General features: G+C 34.6%; 2 protein-coding genes across 14 annotated transcripts in view; one reads left to right on the forward strand and one right to left on the reverse strand.

The window, feature by feature from the left end:
* The window catches only part of ACVR2A (activin A receptor type 2A), an 86,306-nt gene extending 81,951 nt beyond the window's left edge, over positions 1-4,355 (forward strand). For all 4 annotated transcript variants that reach the window (NM_001278579.2, XM_047446292.1, NM_001278580.2 and 1 more), the window contains one exon: positions 613-4,355. In NM_001278579.2, coding sequence (NP_001265508.1) covers positions 613-807 — 195 coding nt within the window. In that variant the 3' untranslated portion in view covers positions 808-4,355. The remainder of the gene's footprint in view (positions 1-612) is intronic.
* Positions 3,929-21,859, reverse strand: part of ORC4 (origin recognition complex subunit 4) — a 91,156-nt gene continuing 73,225 nt past the window's right edge. For 9 of the 10 annotated variants that reach the window (NM_181742.4, NM_001190881.3, NM_001190882.3 and 6 more), the window contains 6 exons: positions 21,584-21,757; positions 16,969-17,055; positions 12,673-12,781; positions 11,831-11,926; positions 11,679-11,746; positions 3,929-9,231 (listed from right to left, as the gene is read on the reverse strand). In NM_181742.4, coding sequence (NP_859526.1) covers positions 9,043-9,231; positions 11,679-11,746; positions 11,831-11,926; positions 12,673-12,781; positions 16,969-17,055; positions 21,584-21,757 — 723 coding nt within the window. In that variant the 3' untranslated portion in view covers positions 3,929-9,042. Of the gene's footprint in view, positions 9,232-11,678; positions 11,747-11,810; positions 11,927-12,672; positions 12,782-16,968; positions 17,056-21,583; positions 21,758-21,859 lie in introns of those variants that run through there. The other variant, XM_047444573.1, reaches the window with a different exon arrangement.

The raw sequence follows: 21,859 nt of genomic DNA on the forward strand, positions 1-21,859 counted from the left end.
CTTTGCTGATGACCACTTCCAATATGACAACATTTTAAAAAGTTTATGAAGCACCATGTTTTCTCCTCTCCATGGGAGTTTGTTGTAGCCTTTTAATTTCGGCTTAGACTTTCAAGTCTTAATAGTGCTTTAAAACTATAGAGACCAGGCACATAACAGTATTGCCCTGGTTATTTCAGTCTAAATATAACTAGAAACCTGGCTAAAACCAGGTAGAGAAATCCCAAGGGTGGCTTTCTGATCTTCTGTTTAATTGTAAGATAGAAATGCTGATATTAACTAAGAAAACAATAAAAATTGGTAGGTCCCCTTTATCCTTGATTTTTGAGTCCATTTGAAGGGTTAGCATTGAAATGACCTGGGTTATGAACAAGGGATAGAGATTTTTTTTTTGGAGTTAAAAAAATTCCTCTTGTGATAGTCTCATGCTTAAAAAAAAAGTTCTGTTTGTGCTTTTCTTTATGATTCTGCACATGGTAGTCAATAAAAGTGAATGTTGACAGAAACTTCTTTGACCCAGAAAAATAGCCATTTCTTCATGAAAATTTTATTGTTTCCTAATAGAAAACAAAAACTGCTGTGGCGTTTGAGTATATGTTTTTCTCCTTTTAGGGAATGGCAATGCTCTGTGAAACCATTGAAGAATGTTGGGATCACGACGCAGAAGCCAGGTTATCAGCTGGATGTGTAGGTGAAAGAATTACCCAGATGCAGAGACTAACAAATATTATTACCACAGAGGACATTGTAACAGTGGTCACAATGGTGACAAATGTTGACTTTCCTCCCAAAGAATCTAGTCTATGATGGTTGCGCCATCTGTGCACACTAAGAAATGGGACTCTGAACTGGAGCTGCTAAGCTAAAGAAACTGCTTACAGTTTATTTTCTGTGTAAAATGAGTAGGATGTCTCTTGGAAATGTTAAGAAAGAAGACCCTTTGTTGAAAAATGTTGCTCTGGGAGACTTACTGCATTGCCGACAGCACAGATGTGAAGGACATGAGACTAAGAGAAACCTTGCAAACTCTATAAAGAAACTTTTGAAAAAGTGTACATGAAGAATGTAGCCCTCTCCAAATCAAGGATCTTTTGGACCTGGCTAATGGAGTGTTTGAAAACTGACATCAGATTTCTTAATGTCTGTCAGAAGACACTAATTCCTTAAATGAACTACTGCTATTTTTTTTAAATCAAAAACTTTTCATTTCAGATTTTAAAAAGGGTAACTTGTTTTTATTGCATTTGCTGTTGTTTCTATAAATGACTATTGTAATGCCAATATGACACAGCTTGTGAATGTTTAGTGTGCTGCTGTTCTGTGTACATAAAGTCATCAAAGTGGGGTACAGTAAAGAGGCTTCCAAGCATTACTTTAACCTCCCTCAACAAGGTATACCTCAGTTCCACGGTTGCTAAATTATAAAATTGAAAACACTAACAAAATTTGAATAATAAATCGATCCATGTTTTGTAACAAATTCACTGTGTTATTTAAGGAAAAAAAGGTAAGCTATGCTTAGTGCCAACAATAAGTGGCCATTCGTAAAGCAGTGTTTTAGCATTTCTTGTGCTGGCTTGTAATGTAGGGAAAAAAAGTGCTGTTTTTTGAAAAGATGGTGTCATTTCCCCCTTCTTCCCATGTTTTAAAGCCCCATCTTATATCCAGTTCCCAAAATTTGCATACTTACCTAAGTATTTTTTTTAGGTGTGCTGTGTTTGGGGAATATTTGAAAATTTAAAGCATGATTTAAAATTTTTTAAAGTGAGCTGTGACACTGGAAAGCTCTTCATTTTATCTTTTAAAATAGAGTTTTTTCTATTTATATATGTAAAATTGTAGTGTATTTCTTTTCACCAAACAGTGTGTGGGACATTCTTTATCACTGTTTTAGGATCACCTCAGGAAGTGTCGTTACCCAGAATTCCCCACTGTCTGCTATGAGACTTGTAACTTTATCACTATACTTCTGCTTGGTGCCATCTTGTCAGAGTAATATTTGATGTCTGTGATATGTAAAGAATTATCCTAGGATAAAGATATTAAACTTTAAGCAGATTTCAGATGTTACTGCTTTAAAACAAATCAGGGATAACAAATTAAACGTATAACTTAAAATATGCAATGACATTTAGAGGTAACCAATGTTGATATAGGTAGCATAGCCTAGCCTCCTCCCCAAAATTGCTTTTACAACTAACACTGATACTAATTTAGGATAGTTCATGCCTTATCCTTGCTAAGAAAATGGAATTGATGGTAGGCAGGTGCTAAAGTGCTTTTCAAAACAATATTACGTTAGAATACAATTGGATTCTTCCTCAAATTTATACAGGCCAAAAAGTAAAACATTAATTTTCTGAATTTCCAGATTACCAATCAATTAATCAACAAATAGCCAGTATTATGCTGTGTATTTCTGTCAGGTCATTTTAAAATCCATGTTAATTTTATAAAAGAATTTTTTACATGTCACTGTCAGGAGCTCACTGTGAATGTGTTGTCTTCAAATGGTTATTTAACCACACAGTACACTACATTTTACATATATGTACGTAATCTCTGGGAATAGTAAATTAATTATGTTATTTATAAACAATACATAGGTCAACAGACTTTAAGCAGGGAGGAAAAGAAGAGTAATAGCGTCTGTGTGCTGCAGACCATTCAGAACTGTCACGTGTGTCCCCATGGTCTCATTCATTGTATTCCTAGCAATTCCCTTTTCAATGTTGAGTTCACCTCTTTATTTCACAAAGTACTTGGTCTCTCAATTTCTTGATCTGGTTTTGCTTCCATTTAAAAACTAATCAAGAAGGGAAAATATTGAGAATGTGCATACAAGAAAATCATTAATTTCCTGAAGATGAATTTCTACCTGTTGTGAACATTTAACTTTCTTTTTAAAAGTTAAACAAAAATAAACAAGGGATATTATGATGAATGTTTGGCTTATGTGAGTACTAGAGATAAAATTTTTAAACCCAGTTATTCACAATATAAAATGTTTTCAAGTTAGAAAAAATTTTTAGAAATCCTGGGTATTGTATTTAACTGTAGCTAACCAATTTTAAAACTTGTATTCTTTTGAGAACTATTATTAATAGAAAAACTTTTTATAAGCAGTAAAATAAGAATGTTCCAGTGACTACCTGTCCTTATACCTAGTCTTGTTAAAACTTTCTTTTGCAGGGTATTTAGTGTTTGGTTTACAGTCAGTGCAGAGTGGGCAAGTTAACAGAAAGTTTGAGCTAGAGATACTGGAAAAAAAAAAGATCAAAGAATGAGAAAAATGGTGATCCATTTTGGGGCAAACTGAGACCCCCCAAATAACTCTTTCCTCATGTGTATGGTGCTCCTCATGACTCGTCTTGTATTTTGCCTTTCTGATACCCATCAGAACTGCTGCTGCTCTAACTTATACTCTTTACCTTGCCCAGATCTCCGCGTAAGGAATGCTTTATGATCAACTTGCCATAGGACTGATGGATTAACCAGTGTTCGGCTTTATTTGAAGTCTATGCCCTGCACAGCTCTTGTATGTATTTTAGATGCTAGAAGTTTTTTTAGCATGTGATGTGTGATTCTTGTTTGAATTCTAGGTACCTTGTGAATTCCAGAAAAAGAGACTGTGCTTCACGATTGTTAGTCCCATGAACTTGCACTATCTATCTTTCATGGTGATGTTTTGAAAATACAATCAGGAAAAAACCCAACACCTTTGGAATTTAAAATAGAATCATATCATGAAATTTAAAAAGAATCTCTTCTGTTGCATTTCCTCACCCCTAAGTAACAGCTACATTTAAGTAAAATGCAGGTGGTAGGGGAAAAAAAACCATGGCGAGATGGTGGTTTAGTGGAATAAACTGATTACTGGTTTTTTTGTTTTTTTTTTTTTTTTTAAAGAAAGAAGCTTCATCACAGATACTTTCCAGTTTCTCTTTTATACTTTTTTGAAAGATTACTTTTTAGGAACATTTGGTATGATATGCATAAAATTATTTATCCATTTATGGGCAAAATGATACAAGTAGCATCTTGATTGAACATCATTTACCTCAGATATTCAACCAGCAGTACGTTTTTTATGCAGTCTCAACCCATATCCCATTTGTTACCTCTCAGAATATTGGTAAGCAGTTATTTTCGCTTTACTCTGTATTTCTTGTGTTTTGGGCACAGGTTATTGTACTACTGTCAAATCGTACTTGCTATTTTTTCTGCAAGTATTTAACAGAAAGCTTAAAATCCCCATAAAACCCCACCTTGGATAAGTGATTGTTAAATATTGTACAAATAAAATGTATGCTATCCCCATTCCATCCCCAAGTTAAATAAAAAAATGAATACGGTATGATTTGCATATGCAGTTTTTCTTTAGCTATGTTTTTTTTTTTTTTTATACTTTAAGTTTTAGGGTACATGTGCACATTGTGCAGGTTAGTTACATAGGTATACATGTGCCATGCTGGTGCGCTGCACCCACTAACTCGTCATCTAGCATTAGGTATATCTCCTAATGCTATCCCTCCCCCATCCCCCCACCCCACAACAGTCCCCAGAGTGTGATATTCCCCTTCCTGTGTCCATGTGATCTCATTGTTCAATTCCCACCTATGAGTGAGAATATGCGGTGTTTGGTTTTTTGTTCTTGTGATAGTTTACTGAGAATGATGATTTCCAATTTCATCCATGTCCCTACAAAGGACATGAACTCATCATTTTTTATGGCTGCATAGTATTCCATGGTGTATATGTGCCACGTTTTCTTAATCCAGTCTATCATTGTTGGACATTTGGGTTGGTTCCAAGTCTTTGCTATTGTGAATAATGCCACAATAAACATACGTGTGCATGTGTCTTTATAGCAGCATGATTTATAGTCCTTTGGGTATATACCCAGTAATGGGATGGCTGGGTCAAATGGTGTTTCCAGTTCTAGATCCCTGAGGAATCGCCACACTGACTTCCACAATGGTTGAACTAGTTTACAGTCCCACCAACAGTGTGAAAGTGTTCCTATTTCTCCACATCCTCTCCAGCACCTGTTGTTTCCTGACTTTTTAATGATTGCCATTCTAACTGGATAAAATACTGGCAAAACGAATCCAGCAGCACATCAAAAAGCTTATCCACCATGATCAAGTGGGCTTCATCCCTGGGATGCAAGGCTGGTTCAATATACGCAAATCAATGAATGTAATCCAGCATATAAACAGAGCCAAAGACAAAAAACACATGATTATCTCAATAGATGCAGAAAAAGCCTTTGACAAAATTCAACAACCCTTCATGCTAAAAACTCTCAATAAATTAGGGATTGATGGGGTGTATTTCAAAATAATAAGAGCTATCTATGACAAACCCACAGCCAATATCATACTGAATGGGCAAAAACTGGAAGCATTCCCTTTGAAAACTGGCACAAGACAGGGATGCCCTCTCTCACCACTCGTATTCAACATAGTGTTGGAAGTTCTGGCCAGGGCAATTAGGCAGGAGAAGGAAATAAAGGGTATTCAATTAGGAAAAGAGGAAGTCAAATTGTCCGTTTGCAGACGACATGATTGTATATCTAGAAAACCCCATCGTCTCAGCCCAAAATCTCCTTAAGCTGATAAGCAACTTCAGCAAAGTCTCAGGATACAAAATCAATGTACAAAAATCACAAGCATTCTTATACACCAACAACAGACAAACAGAGAGCCAAATCATGAGTGAACTCCCATTCACAATTGCTTCAAAGAGAATAAAATACCTAGGAATCCAACTTACAAGGGATGTGAAGGACCTCTTCAAGGAGAACTACAAGCTACTGCTCAAGGAAATAAAAGAGGATACAAACAAATGGAAGAACATTCCATGCTCTTGGGTAGGAAGAATCAATATTGTGAAAATGGCCATACTGCCCAAGGTAATTTACAGATTCAATGCCATCCCCATCAAGCTACCAATGACTTTCTTCACAGAATTGGAAAAAACTACTTAAGTTCATATGGAACCAAAAAAGAGCCCACATCGCCAAGGCAATCCTAAGCTATGTGTTCTTAAAGAGGGGAGTGGTAGCTTTGTAACTTACAGTGAGGCTTACACCTTGACAACTGCAAGAATGAGGATAGTGGTGAGTGAAGGGAGATTTGTTAATTATGGCATTTCCCTCTATTATCGTCTAAACAGATTATATTCCCACTAAAGTATGTGTGTTGGTCCTGCCAGTATTAGAAACCAGAGGCTTGTTGGCATTGTGTCACACAGTACACACCAATGGATTCTCAGATTTTCTAGGGTAAAGGTGAAGGATGGGGCAGCACTTAGGTTATGGTGGTTTGAAAGAAACTGAATTGCTTTCTAAACCAGATGAGGATCAGAGTGCGAACCATGGTGAAATATGCATGGAAACTACAGAAAGACTGAAGTGTTTCTTACGGTGTTTTCTGCAAAACGTGATTCATTAGGACATTAACAGGTATTACGTTTTCAACATATACAGCATTATGATACAGTAAGTTTGGACCAAACAGGTATTCATTCCCCAGAGCCTTTCACATGCACGAGAATCAGTCATTTTAACAAGAATTCCGTTTCTGCTGGGCCACTTGGATCCCTTGGATTCAGATGTAAAAACACACTGAAATATTCCTCCTTTCACCTGCTTTTCAGTTTGAGGTAATCAGATTGAAAAGCAGGAGTTCATGCATTTTTTGGTTCTATTTTTCCTCCTCTAGTAAATGAAGAAAATAAGCTATATGTATAAGTTTACATTATTCTTGAACCGCTTTTTAAACTAGGGTTTTTCATATTTGTTTTTATTGATGACAATTAAAGCAATTTAAGAGACGAAGTTAGCTCAAAACTCTTGCGAATAGATTTTAGCATTTTTGTATGAGGGAATATGGAAAGGCCAACAAGCAGCACTGTTCCTCCCCACAAAAATGCCTTGGGAATATAATAGGCGTACACTTCATTTGTGTAACTTTTCCTAATGTATTTTTTTTTAATTTGCTTTATAACGGTTTCATGTTTACCTCAATTGGTACTTAGTCTTAAAATCTTTCTTTATACTTGGTTATTGATGGATCTTCTGCAGCTCTTATGTAGCCAATGAGACAGATGAGGGCTGTCAGCTTTTAAGTGACATCTTAAGCTAATAAGAAATTGGAATCCTCAAGTCATTTCATGAGGCTGTTACCCTTTAAGACAAATAATACTTTCCTCAAATAGTTCAGAAAATTTTTAAAAGGATCACTTAGAGCATAAGTGTAAAATTCTTGCTTCTAGTATATAATAGTGATGTTACCATGTCAAGTATTTTGGTGAAATATCCCCTAAAAATGTGTAGACTACGGCACAGATTGAGTATGCAAGCCTTAGCTTGAATGAGACTGCTGAGAAGTAAATGACAGGGATCTGAATACTTAGCAGGCTTAACTTTTTGCAGGGAAGGAAAGGCTATGTATGCAAAAGAATAGGTTGTAACTACTGAAGAGCTACTTTATGCTCAGAAACCTTTTATTCCACTTTGTATCCAAGATTTCATTAAAACATTGTTCCTTAGAGCATACTTTAAAAACTATTTGGTAAGGAATCCACTGTTGAACTTCAGGTCTTAATAGCACTGGCTTTGGTGCTAAACTGAGTTGAATTCCAAGCCTGTTGGCCATTCCCAGCATTGCCACTGCTGTGTTAGTTTTCTCATCTGTAAATAACTGCCTACATCTCACAGGGCCTCTAATAGTTAAATAGATTGTAAGCTGCACAAGCATAGGGACAGTCTGTCTTTTGTAAACCTCCCATGCACACAATAGGAAATCAAATATTCTTGAACAAATGAAGTCACTAAGTGCTCATTAAATTTCATTTTAAATATATGCCTCTGTTAATTCATGGATCTTGGAACTTACTTAAAAGACAATGCTTTGACGGACATTTCCACATTCCTCATAGGGATTTACTTTTTAATACAAACAGGTTCAGTTAACATTGCCATACACATCTCATTACTTTTGGGAGTGCTTTTCCAGAAATCTCTGGTAGTCACGTCACTTCATGATGGGGCTACGTTCTGAGAAATGTGTCTTTGGGTGATTTCATCACTGTATGAACATCACAGAGTATACTTACACAGACCCTGATGATATGTATATAGCCTGTTACACACTTAGGCTATACAGATAGCCTAGCCTATTACTCTTCAGCTATAGCACTGTACAGAATGTTACTGTAATCATACTGTAGGCAACTGTAACACAATGGTAAAACATTTGTATATTTAGACATAGAAAAGGTACAGTAAAAATATGGTATAATCTTATGAGACCACCCTTTATACAATGTCATTGACCAAAATGTTACGTGGTGCCATGACTATACTTGTTAAGAAGGAAAATTCCAGTCCTTTTGACCTATGGTAGGCTCAACAATCTGTAATTTTAGAAAATCCTACAAGGGATTCTGATGTGGATGGTATGAGTACCACATTTTGAGATGTCTAGAAGAAAAATCTTCAAACTCCTTGGCCTTTTTCTTCCATGGAACCATCTTCTGACTAAGCTGGTTAGTCTTCTGAACTAGAAAACCTGGGTCTGGGATAGAATCCAAAATTTGCATGTGGACAGAAAAAAACACTGCAGCAAACCTGCTGTACCAAAGGTTACTTATTATACTTCAGTGCTTACCATTGTTTTTTTTACTCCTTTGGTTTAAGGTTTGTAAAGACATCTAGCTGTTAGGTTGAAGTGAGCTCTTCAAATAGACCATTATATATATAAGTGTTAAAAAAGCACATGGTCTAGTCCCTAAAACAGTCATATTTTATTCTTCTGAACAGCTACTTACAAAGTAATCTCAATCAGTGAAATTATAAATCATGTAACTGTTCATGATTAAAAGGCAAGACACAGCCAAGACAGTAGATGGGCAAGTCTCACATAAATACAAGAATGTTTATAGAATGTTTAGCATATCATGTTAATGGACAATAGTTTTCCGTTCTCTACAGAAGTATGAATGAAATGCCAAAGTTGAAGTCACTGGTTATATTCATAACCAGCTTAGTGAGGATGTTGCCCACTGCCTCACATCTGTAGGACAGTTGGGATATTTCTGCAGAGCATTCATAATTTGAGTATTATCCAAAAGCAGTTTCATCAGCTGGTACTCTCTCTGTGAATTTCCTGAAGTTCTTTCCATGGGCTTTATTAATTCTAATTGCTGCAAGTGTTCAAAAGCCTGAAAGATGAAAGAAATAGTTTAGGTTGAATAGGAGAGGAGAGTGACAACTCTCCTGTTCTCTCCCAGAGAACAGTTAGCATTTTGGTCAGCTGCAGAACAGAGTACTGGGAAGCAAAATGTAACAACAATCAATAGGATTAAAAAAACTCTCACAACCCCATGAAAACTCATATTATCAGGTAAAACAGTGTCAGTGCACACTTACTTGTCCATATATTGTTGAATGTAAACACGGCAAACTTTAATTCAATATATACAATATGGTTTTCTTCCTAGCCTCATTCTCTATCATAGCTCCTCCTAGTACTTTAATAAATAGTTTCCAGTTCTCTGTAAAAACCTAAGAATCAGATAAGACTTTCTGATCAATTCCCTAGGCTACTCAGATTTGCATTTATATTTTGTCTGTCTCTATTTTTGCTTTGCTATGTAAAAAGGTAACACAGCTGTAACAGAGGGAGGCAGAAAAAGACCCTTGAGTCAACTAGACATATTCAGCTGATCCTGTAAGTAAAGGATTCAGCAGGCTAGTATGGACATGGAGGAGAAGGGACAGGCTCCTGTTTCCTCTAAGAAGTCTGACTGAGACTGTCACAACCTTCTTCCATCTTCCCCATCTTAATAGGGCTCTTTCTTGTCTACTTCCTCTTATCCTTAATATTCACCTATTATATCTTTTCTAACCTTGAGTGTTGTGTTAGGTACGTTATTAGGTTATGAAAAAAAAAACCATTAAATCATGATATACTAACCATTAAATAATGATACACTGAAATAGATTCCTGAGGATTCTATTATATTCTTACAACTCACTGTAAAAAACATCACTGGAACATATTCTCTATGTATCACATAAATTCTTCTGATAGAGAAACAGCTCAGATACCTTCATATCTGAACATGAGAAAATACTGGAGGCTGCAGGTGTTAAGAGCTGAATAGAACTGTGCAGATTTAAAACATTTCTAAATAGCAAAATACTTCATAATTGAAAATTCAGAAATGAGCAGCTACAAATTATTGAGAATTTAAATGCAGGCTGGGCGCAGTGGCTCACGCCTGTAATCCCAGCACTTTGGGAGGCCGAGGTGGGCGGATCATGAGGTCAGGAGTTTGAGACCAGCCTGACCAACATGGTGAAACACTGTCTCTACTAAGAATACAAAAATTAGATGGGCATAGTGGTGCACGCCTGTAATCCCAGCTATTCAGGAGGCTGAGGCAGGAGAATCGCTTAACTTGGGAGGCAGAGGTTGCAGTGAGCCAAGATTGCGCCCGCCACTGTACTCCAGCGTAGGCGACAGGAGACTCCATCTCAAAAAAAAAAAAAAAAAAAAAATTTAAATACTTGGGTAACCTTTCCATTTTCACAGCTCTCACAAAATAAGACTATTAGGGGAAAAAAACCCTCCAGTATTGTAAAATACTTTTCCTGTTTCTTTGAAGAAATGGCAATGCTCTGTACTCATTTTTGTTGCTACAAGAAATGAAATTCTGGTTACTAGGGCCTATAAGGGATGCCAATGGACTTGGGGAATCCACTGTTTTAAAAGTTTCTTTCCTTAAAATCTTCAAGAGCTGCACTGTCCACGCTAGGCTACTGAGCACTTCAATGTGTGACTCAATTTTTTTTTAAACTTAAAAATGGATATTTAGTTCTATTAGAAAATTCTGAGCATGTTTAGAACAATTTCAAAATGTAAATTTACTTTCTCAGCTATACATTTTATGGAATCTAAACAGCAAGAATTTCCAGTAAACATTTAGGCCATTGAGATGTGCTTAAATATAATGTACACCAAATGTTAAAGACTTAATTCAAAAGAATGTAAAATACCTTACTGTTCTTCTATAATGATTATAGAATGACACATTTTTGATATGTTGCATTAAATATATAATTAAAATTAAACCTTTTTATTTTTCTTACAGGTACTAGAAAATTTAAAACTACATTACATGGCTCACATTATCTTTGTAGTGGACAATGGTAATCTACATGAAGTCCTGAAGTTGTAAAACTCATGACTCAGCCCCCAAATAACACTTTCTCTGTATGCCCTCACAGGCCAATAAGATTTTGTCTTTTAAGTTTCTTAATGGCTCTAATTTTCATTGTTTTCTCCTTTTACTGCTGAGATTATAAAAGCCAATCCTTGGGTTGGAAAGGGAAAGGTTATATCACACACTATACTGAATAGTTGTTTTCGGGATGCAAGTGCTCTGAAGAGACAGCAGAGGGCAGTATACCTCCACAAACTAAAACAACCGGTCACTTCCTCAGATTTTTCCAAAATATTTCATTTTTAGATAATTTTCTTGTTTTGAAAAAAATCTCTATAATACTTAATGTTTAAAAATGAAAGTGCAATTTTAATACATAATCAAATTGGATGTAAAAAATATACTTGTCTGTAGAAAAATGACAGCAAACTAAATCTTACCTTCATGACAACAGGTTTTTCAAAATTATAAACGGAATGTGCTTTCCTTTGAACAAACTTCTGAAACTCTGAGTAGAAAGCAATGACAACATTATACCTTCAAATAAGCAGTGGGGAAGAGTCAGAAAAAAGCTACTTAAGTCTCATCTCACCATTATAGACCATTTGAAAATTAAATGGCTCTTCCTCATAGATGTCATTTAAATGTTTCATTGCTATTATAAGACAGATTTCCAAGACTGATAGACCTACAGTAAAAGGGAAAAAAAACTATCAGTTTAATGACATATAAGACTGAAATAACTGTTCTCCAAAGAATACAATATAGTGAAAGATCTATGGTTCTGAGGGGTGAAGAAGGTCAAGATTCTTCTAGATTTCAATGTGTTTCAATTATCTATATAAATTTAAGTTACTTAACCTCCCTGAGCTTAGTTTTTTTCCTATCTGCAAAATAAGGATATTTTTAAACTTTTAGAAATGTCACAAAGATTGGCGAAATATTATCAGGCACTCACCATATGGCCCACAGTAAACAAAATAAACTTCAATTGTTATGTGACTTTAAATCACACAGGGCCTTTGCGTAGGATTTATCTAGAGACTTCCTAAACTCCTGGAAATTATATCCAAATCTGTGTATTCCTTTTTTCCCCGGAGAGGAAAAGGTTCATTACATTTGGAAAAGGAAATAACAAACCCAAAATGACTGAAACCCAGAGAATGCTCTTCAGTAGTTCTTGATACAATGATAACATCAGCAACACAGTCTTACCTGGATTTCCAATGTGGCAAAAGAGGCAGAGCGTCAAATTTTTTTTTCACTTTAAATGGGAGTGATAGTACCTTTAAAAGGACTAAGTTAAAGGCTATATGGATACGAAAGTATTTTATAAAGCATTATGCCCACGTTAATTGTAATTTTAAAAACATTCCATTATCTAAATTCAAAGTTTTAAAAACCACAATTTAAAAAATAAGGCTGGGTTCTCACCATGTACAATATTTGCTTTCGAGTCCATGCTACACAGTTGGCTTGCTTCCATTAGATCTACGGCAGTCATAAATGGGTGCGATGCTGTTACTCGATTTAAAGCAAGCATCTAGGGAAAGACAGATCAGAAAAACAATTACGTATTTACATGGGCATTTTGGAGATACTGTGCAAAACTTCTGAATTTGTATAGTTAATTCTTAAGGGAGAGTAAATATTAATGCTTAGGAAGGTATTCTCAAATTCAGTTGTATTAAAATACAGTATTTCAATTTGTGTGTCACATAACTGCAGATGTAAAGCATAAAAAAAGTTCCTGCTGCTCTCTCTAACCCATCCCAGTTGCATAACTTGTTTACTTACTGCTTGGAAGAACAATGTTTAAAGAGGAGTAGGTCAAGGAGAAGAAACTGAAAATAATTAAGAATACTTACTAATAAAAGCCCCAAACACAAGCCCAAAAGGCAGATCTACGCCTTACTTGTTAACTTTTTCACCACCCAATCATCCAGCCAGGTTAGTATTAATTTAGACAGAAGTTAGCTGTTTTATGTTCAATTGTACAAAAAAGAAAAGAAAATAGCACATTTATACTCAGGAATAACTCTCCTTGAAAGCACAGTCTCCTTCTCTTGTGCTGCTTCTCTGTTCAAAAATGAACAGAGGTCCTGGACCAGAGTTGCTACTCAAGTATTTGAAGATTTCCTTCCTTCCTTCTTTATTTGTATTTTTCATGAAAGTTAAATTTGGTCATTTAGGGTTACAAGATTTAGCAGATAAAAATGCATGACCTCTGGTTAAATTTCAATTTCAAATAAACAATAAATAGTTTCTTAGTAGTATGTGCCATGCAATATTTGGGATATAATTATCCAAGAAACTCTCCTTCACCTTAACAAGGGCGCAACTGATTAGCTGGGCAGAGAGTTTGGCAATCCTTGTCCTTCATTCTCCTACTGGTTGGGACCTAGATTGCCAGTGCTCCCTCCCTTTCTCTCTCCTTTCCTTTTTCCTTTAGTTATTAATTTTTTAATTTTTATTTTTTAACTTCATTTTTCCATAAGTTATTGTGGTATGGGTGGTATTTGGTTACATGAGTAAGTTCTTTAGTGGTGATTTGTGAGACTTTGGTGAATGCATCACTTGAGCAGTATACACTGCATCATATTTGTAGTCTTTTATCCCTCGCCCCACTGGAAAACAATGTGGAGATTCCTTAAAGAACTAAAAGTAGAACTACCATTTGATACAGCCATCCCACTACAGGGCATCTACCCAGAGGAAAAGAAGTTATTATTTGAAAAAGAAAGAAGTCATTATTTGAAAAAGATGCTTGCATGTGCATGTTTATAGCAGCAAAACTCACAATTGCAAAATCGTAGAACCAACCCAAATGCCCATCAATCAACGAGTGGATAAAGAAACTGTGGTATATATATACTATGGATATGGATAAAGAAACTGTGGTATATATATACTATGGATATATGGATATATATATATATGTGGTATATATATACTATGGATACTACACAGTCATAAAAAGGAATGAACTAACAGCATTTGCAGTGACCTGGATGAGACTGGAGACTATTATTCTAAGTGAAGTAACTCAGGAATGGAAAACCAAACATCGTATGTTCTCACTGATATGATATGTGGGAGCTAAGCTATGAGGACACAAAGGCATAAATTTTTTTTAACATATACAAAGGCAACAGAGAATAATAAATATCTATGACTACTTTACCTGCTTAAGAAATATGATTTTAGAGTTGAAGCCCATCTCCTCCGGATTGGACTCTACTCTTCCCCACATAAAACAACCAAGTATGTCTATACTATTAGGTTGGTGCAAAAGTAATTGCCATTTTGGGCACTGAAAGTAATGGTAACTTTTGCACCAACCTAATACTTCTACTACATATACATGTATTATACAACAGAGTAATTTTCAACTTTTATATAAATATATTGTATCTTCACAACTCTCTTCACTGTGAGGTTTTACCCATGTTGAGGCAGTATCAATTCTGGTTTATTCATTTTTTCATTATATTTCTTTGTATATATCCACGATTATTCATTTCCTAATTTCCTATTGACAGACATCTTTCATTTCTTTTTTTTTCCCAATTATAAACAAGACTGCAATAAACAACCTTGGACATGTCTTCCTGTGCATTAGGTAACTAGACTTTCTCTAATTAGTATGTTTCTCTAGTTACCTAATTTGCTAAATAAATTGCTCTCCAAAGCACTTACACATATTTACATTGGCAGCAGCAATAAATATTAATAGTCACAGTCATGATACCATCAAGCATAATCTTTAACACCCACTAGATTGGCAAGAAAAAAAAAGTTTAATTGTAGTATTTCTCTGGTTACTGGAGAGGCTGAAAATCTGTAATCTATAATGAGCTTCCACAGTAAGACAATGACAACAAATAATGGGATGAGCTAAGAATATGAGTAAGCAGCCCTCAAAGTAGAATCCCATATGACAAAAAACAAGCCATTATTTAATTCATTACCATGAATTAAAAATGTAATAGAAAAATGGCAGAACAATGGCCGTTAATATTGACAATACTGAGGCAGAGATATTTTCCCAGATGGAGATGTGTGTGTATATATATATACATACACACATACACACACACACCCCTCCTCTAAAAATTACTAGTCCCCAAATTCCTTCATGATATGCTGAAAATGGCAGTATGCTTTTGACAATAGAAGAAAAGTAAATAGGGATAAAAAGACTTAAATTCCTCAGCAGAAGCAGCAATGAGGAAAGAAAACTTGTATATAAACATGGGTGAACCATACAGCCAAGTAGGACACAAACTTGAAGCCAGAGAGCTTTGGATTAAGTCCTGGCTTTGTTATCTACTAGTAGTGTGACCTTCGGCAAGTTACTTAGCTTTAAGGAGCCTCAATTTCTTTAGGGGTAAGAATAAAAAATAAGATTATTCCAATGGCCAGACATAATATAGGTACTACTAGCATCAACAGTACTTGGCTCATATGCCAGTCCATAAATGGTAGCTACTGTCATTATTATTCTATTATTATTAAAAATGACCTTTCTATGAAACCAAAACTATCTTGTCTTTCAAAGGTATTTGCCATAATTTTCTAGAAATATTAGACTAAAACCAAATACTCTTAGTGAAGAAAGTTAATTTTCAGAACAATTAAGTACTTCTTGTTTGATATTGGTATTATGTAAGCTTAAGATATAATTACTTGGCAAAACATCATAACCAGGTAGGATTTATTCCAGGTATATAAGGCTGGTTCAACACTCAAAAAATAACATAATCAAATATATCAACAGGTTAAAGAGAAACATGGTCATGCGAAACGATCGAGAATAAGCATTTGACAAAATCCAACACCCATTTATAAGAAACTCTCAGCAAGTTACAAACAGATGAGGATTACCTCAACCTGATAATGAACATGTATAAAAAACCTACAGCTAACATTATACTTAATGGTAAAAGTTTGAATCCTTTCTTCCTAAGACTGGGAACAAGAAAGGATGTCCACTCTCACTGCTCTAATTCAACATAACACTGGAAATTCTAGCCATTGCAAAAAAGCAAGAAAAGAAATAAAAGGCATACAGATTGGAAAGAAAAAAAAAACCGTCACTATTTGTGAAAAATGTAATGGTCTACATCAAAAGTCCCAAGGAATCTATTAAAAAACCTCTTAGAATAAGTGAGTTCAGCATAGACTATAAGTCAATCACATTTCTATATATTAATGTGTATATATATAATCAATCACATATTCTATATGTAATGAATATGTGGGAAATGTAATGAATATGTGGGAAACCAAAATTTCAAAACCCATTTACAATTGTTCTAACAAATTAAATATTGGTATACACATTAAATAAGTACATCATCTGTGTAGTAAGAGCTATAAAATGCTGATGAAAGTAATCAAACAAGAAATCAAATAAAAGGAGATATGAACCCTATTCAGAGATTGGAACACTCGATGTAGTGTTCCAATGCATGTCGATTCTCCCAAAATTTACCTACAGGTTTAATCAATTCCCATAAAAACTTAATTATCTAATGAAAGATAGAAAATGATAAAAGTAGGCTGGGCACAGTGGTTGATGCTTGTAATGTCAGCACTTAGGGAGGCAGAGGTGGGAGGATGGCTTAAGGCCAGGAGTTCGCAACCAGTCTGAGCAACAAAGTGAGACCCCGTCACTATTAAAAACAAAAACAAAGCAACAAGCAATAAAACAAAACTAATACAAACCAATAGCATGTGTAATGACCGCAGGTTTTTGCTGATATTGAAATGCTTCTGTAGTACTTCTTGCACACTTCTATCTTCTGAGAGATACTAAAAGGAAAAAAAAAAAAAAAGCCAAAATTGAGGAAAGATGTAGTTTAAAACCTAAATATAATCCTGTGCCTTACTGGTTGGTGTACCTTAGTAACTCTATCTAATATTAATTCATTATTAAATAGATGTTGGTCTTATTTGTAGAACACTAAAACCAAAATAAAGTTTCCAGTCTACTGATTTTCTTATCCTGTTCTTTACGTTAATTCAATAAACACAATGATAAAACAATCCTGGCTAACCCCAAATTCGTACTTGAATAAGGGAAACTACTACACAGTCATACTAGTGAAATGAACAAAATGCAGCACAAAAACAGAAGTGCATGAGTTACTGTACCTAGGGATACAAGGTAAAGTATTACAAAGAATGCTTAAACTGGATGAGACAAGAGATTTAAAAAAGAAGGAAGAACATTCCAGTTACAGGGAACAGCATGAGTAGCAGGAAAATTATCACATTGGCAGAAAATGAGTAGTCACGTACTGGAGTTTCAATTACTGGCAAAGTGAATGTACAAAAAGAAAAGGCAGAAAAACCTAACTGGAGGTAGCTGTCCAGACAAGAGGTAAAGTGGGTCGGAATTATCTGAGTGTTATGAAGAAAAAAGAATTAAGACGTTTATAGGAGTACATCTGGTAGAGAATTAACTGGTAGCAGAAGAGAAGGAAGGGTTTGAAAGGTAGAAGATAAAAATCAAACATGATCTATGGGAAACAAAATGGCCTGTGAAAAGTGAAATGTGGTCAAAAAATGAATCTTGGATTATTAATATTTAAGTAGTAGGTGGGAAAAGAGAAAAACTAAGAAATTAAGAAAGATACCAAAGACTGGAAGAGAATCTAAGACAGAGTAGAGATCTAGAAAACAAGGGAACAAAGTTTTAAGAGAGAAGTGAGGTTCAACAATATAAACTACTTTGTAAAAAGATATATTTGAGAAGAGGCTAATGGCTTTAGAAATTCAAAGATCACCACAGCCCTTTGAGAAAGTACCATCTAAAGAGGCAAGTGACTGCAGTAATTAGGGTTGAATGGAAGGTGAGGAACACTGGCATTGAAGAAAAGATTAGATGAAAAAAGAGTAAATTCAGAAGTAGCAGAGCCAAGAAAGGCCTGGAAAAGATTGTCATAATTTTTCAAAAATCATCTGCATGGAATAAGGATTCTTTTAAAAAAAAAAAAAAGCCCAGAAAACTAAGCATTTCTGTATTTTCTAGAGCTGTAATTATATGTCTTTACTTTGTCCACTCTAAGAAGACCAGATTCAGAAGTAAGTTCTAGTCTACTGGAATAAAATTTTATACTCTCAGGAAATATATTATCTTAATTATAGTTCCCACTCCCTTGCTATTGTTTCTAGTCTTCTCTTTGTATTTTAAAGGACTTCTGGTTACTATATCTTTTTCTATCACAAACACGGTAGAATATCCTTGGAAGTACACAGGGTGAACATAAAAAAAACAAAGTAATACCTTTTGGAAATTAAAAAAAAATTTGTTTAGCTTTTCCAGTTTTAAAATTGCAATATGGAAGATATGTGGCTAAATATCACAGGCAAACTATAGTCTTGGTTTCTGTAATCTGTAAGTTGTAAAAGTTGATGTGGTAAAATCGGAGCACTTAGGAAAACTAAAGAAAATCACCTGGGACAAAATTGAAGAAATTTTCTCTGCAAGAATCAATTATTTTTAAAACCTGCATTTGCCTCTCTTTGACATGATGCTTCAAAGGTTAATCTTCTATACTCCACCTTCCTACTTTATCTCTTTATTTTTTAGTGGTTTGACTCCAATTCCCCCTCTTTCTAAAAGCTATCGCCTTCTTGCTTCTATAATTACTTATTCTGCTTTTTAAAATGCCTACCTTATCTACATGAGCCATTTAAACAAAAAAAATTGTCTAACCTCGTTCATTATATTTTTAATTCCATCTTGATTCAAACACTATACTCTATTTGAGGATAAGGCTATTATCAACAACCACATAAGCTACAGTACTTTGGGAGATTTCATTTGAGGAGAATAAGGTATGATTCTTTTAAATGTTCTTTTCAAAGGATCCCTCTTATACTGCCATGCTAAGATAGAGTCTACTTTGCTTATTTGACTCATTTGAAGTAGGGCTAAAACAAACCTTCAAATTAGGCAGGATATCAAGGTTCAATCTTATCCTGAAGATATTTCTTGGATGAGATTCCATGTGTGACCTGTTATCTGTATCACTGCTATTGGCTTAATCCTGCCATTCAAAATAGCTTCCTGGATAATCGGCACTAAGAGAAAGAATAGCTCCCTTAATGCAGCTACCACCCTACTCCACAAGGCAGGGACTCTGACCATGGTGCTGACAGATTTTTCAAGTGAAGCTCATTTTATTCACATACCAAAGACAGGCACAAGATGATCAGGATAGGGGAAGAAAATATTAGAACTCAGAGACACAAACACCAGTGATGCTGGTTCTACTTAATGAAACTGACTATTAAGACTATCAAAATGATGACAAGACAGTGCTCACATGCAGGGGATTTAAGGTCTGCAACAAAAGTCCAGAAAGTAGATTAGTTATGCTACTAACACATGGTTATCATTTTCTAAGTCACGCAGTTATACTTCTTCACCAGTAACTCCCAGCATCCTCTTTATTTATAGACTCAATTTGAGATGCTCAGAATGCAACACAGTTGGGAAGGAAAGTGGATGAAAAATGGCACAGTGCAACCTAGACCATGTAGTTACCTTAAGAAGATTAAGTGTGAGCAGGTATGGAAAAAAAAAAGCCCATGGAAAGTACAGACATTTAAATACTATGAAAGACTACATTTGAATCTCTAAAACAGCCAGAAAAACATACTGGTGGAATAAGACAATCAGTTCAGGAGTTGTAGAAGATGAAAGTCTGTGAGGCACTGAAAAGTAGATCTAAAAGCTGAAGATCCAGAGGTCTGGTTCACACCAGACCCCAGTAAAAGGGGACAATGTGGGAGTACCAACTACAAAGAAGGTGCTCCTATAGATGGAATCCTATAATTAGAAATAGTATCAAAGACACTTGGTCAGGTAATTGAAATACCCGAGTCTCAGGAAAGATTGAGTGGAAGGGAGGATCCATACCTAATTATATCAAGGCATAATATCTGAATTTTAAAGATAATGTCAGCTATTTTTACATACAATTATGTATAGTTGTATTAAGAAAAAGAACAGGGAATTATTAATCATAACAATGGGAAAAAAGTAATATAAAAATATGTAGGCTTTGAGTCCTTTATGTAAAAACAACATATTTAGCATGTATATAAACTCTGCAATGTTGTAGACCAAGTAATTATTCCATAGTAGAAGAAAGGAGAATTGATATAGTCTTAAGGGAAACTTCCACTGTTTATCATGTATTCTTTTGCACTAATTACATTTTGTTCAATAAACTTTTATGATATTTTAAAAAAATGAAATGTGTCAAAATACTGCTTACATGAGCAGACTATATTTTATAATCAAACAATAATCATTTAAAGAACAAACTAAATGCAAAACGCTTCCAATTTAGTATTAGTATTTAAAAATTCACGGTAAAAATACAATCTACCACTATTGCTTTAAAATAAAATGATCCTTTTTATAGAGTCAGTGAATATAGACTGTGTAATTCTATTCAAAGATCTAATTATCCTTACCGGTATTTTAACATTATAAATCAGTTTTTCCCAATTCCTTCAGAGCCAGGGACTCTATATTATTTTCCACTCTCACGAGGCCAATATTTTTTGAGATTCTAGCATAAGGGACTTATTCATTAATGATGTTTTTCAATTATATTATTAAATACACACACATATGCATACTTCCTCCTTTCTCTTTGCCAACTGAAACTTTTTGACAGCGTAAGATTAAAATGCTAGTGTGTTGAGAATATTTTAAGCACAGGTAAATTTATAGTCTCAAAGGTGTGGCAAATCTTTAAAACAACATATGAACCTGCCTTTGTATCTAAGACTCTCAAGTCTCCAGGGACTGTGAGATGTGATCACCTATTAGATAATATAACTGGAGGTGCCACAGTCTGTACTGCCTCTTAAGGCCCAACAAAATAAAAGCTGAAGTTGCTAATGAAAACTGGAAGAAAAAAAATATCCACACATAATAGGTATGAGTCATTAACATTTATTTATCATTATTTACTATTTATTATTATTGCTAAATATGTAAAATATATAAAATAAAATTATCTAAAATATAAACCACATACAGATAAAACTAAAGCCTCATTAAAGTTTACTTCAAACTAATAACATAAATCCTAAAGCTTAACTGTGATGTTCTTTTGAGATAGAATTTAGGAGAAATGACATTTCAACTGTCTAAGAAGAAAATTTTTAAAAAGTATATAATTTGTATTACTGCAGCATTATCCTTCAGCAATATTAGAAACTTTGTGTTAATTTACTAATTTCTAAAATTTGTGTTTTAATTGCTTTAAATCATATAGCAAGGAACATTTAGCTTTATTGCCTTTTAAGATACCTGAACATTTTCATTCCACTTCTCAGCAAAAACCTTGTCTGGAAACTCTGCAGGTAGAGATAACTGTTCTTTAAATATTTTAACATACTGTGGAAAACCAAATGAATTCATTAAGTGTATCTGCCGGTGAGAAAATCTTGACTTCACTCTTTTTTCTAAGAGTTCCAAAATATCCTTAAAAACAAACAGAAATCTCTATAAGGAAGATGAATGTTTTTAAAAAAACAAAAACACTGTACCAATGTTAGAGGTATAAGTAAACTATCACCTATAATT

The sequence above is a fragment of the Homo sapiens genome, chromosome 2 (genome assembly GCF_000001405.40).
Source record: "Homo sapiens chromosome 2, GRCh38.p14 Primary Assembly".
In the NCBI taxonomy this organism is placed as follows: domain Eukaryota; kingdom Metazoa; phylum Chordata; class Mammalia; order Primates; family Hominidae; genus Homo; species Homo sapiens.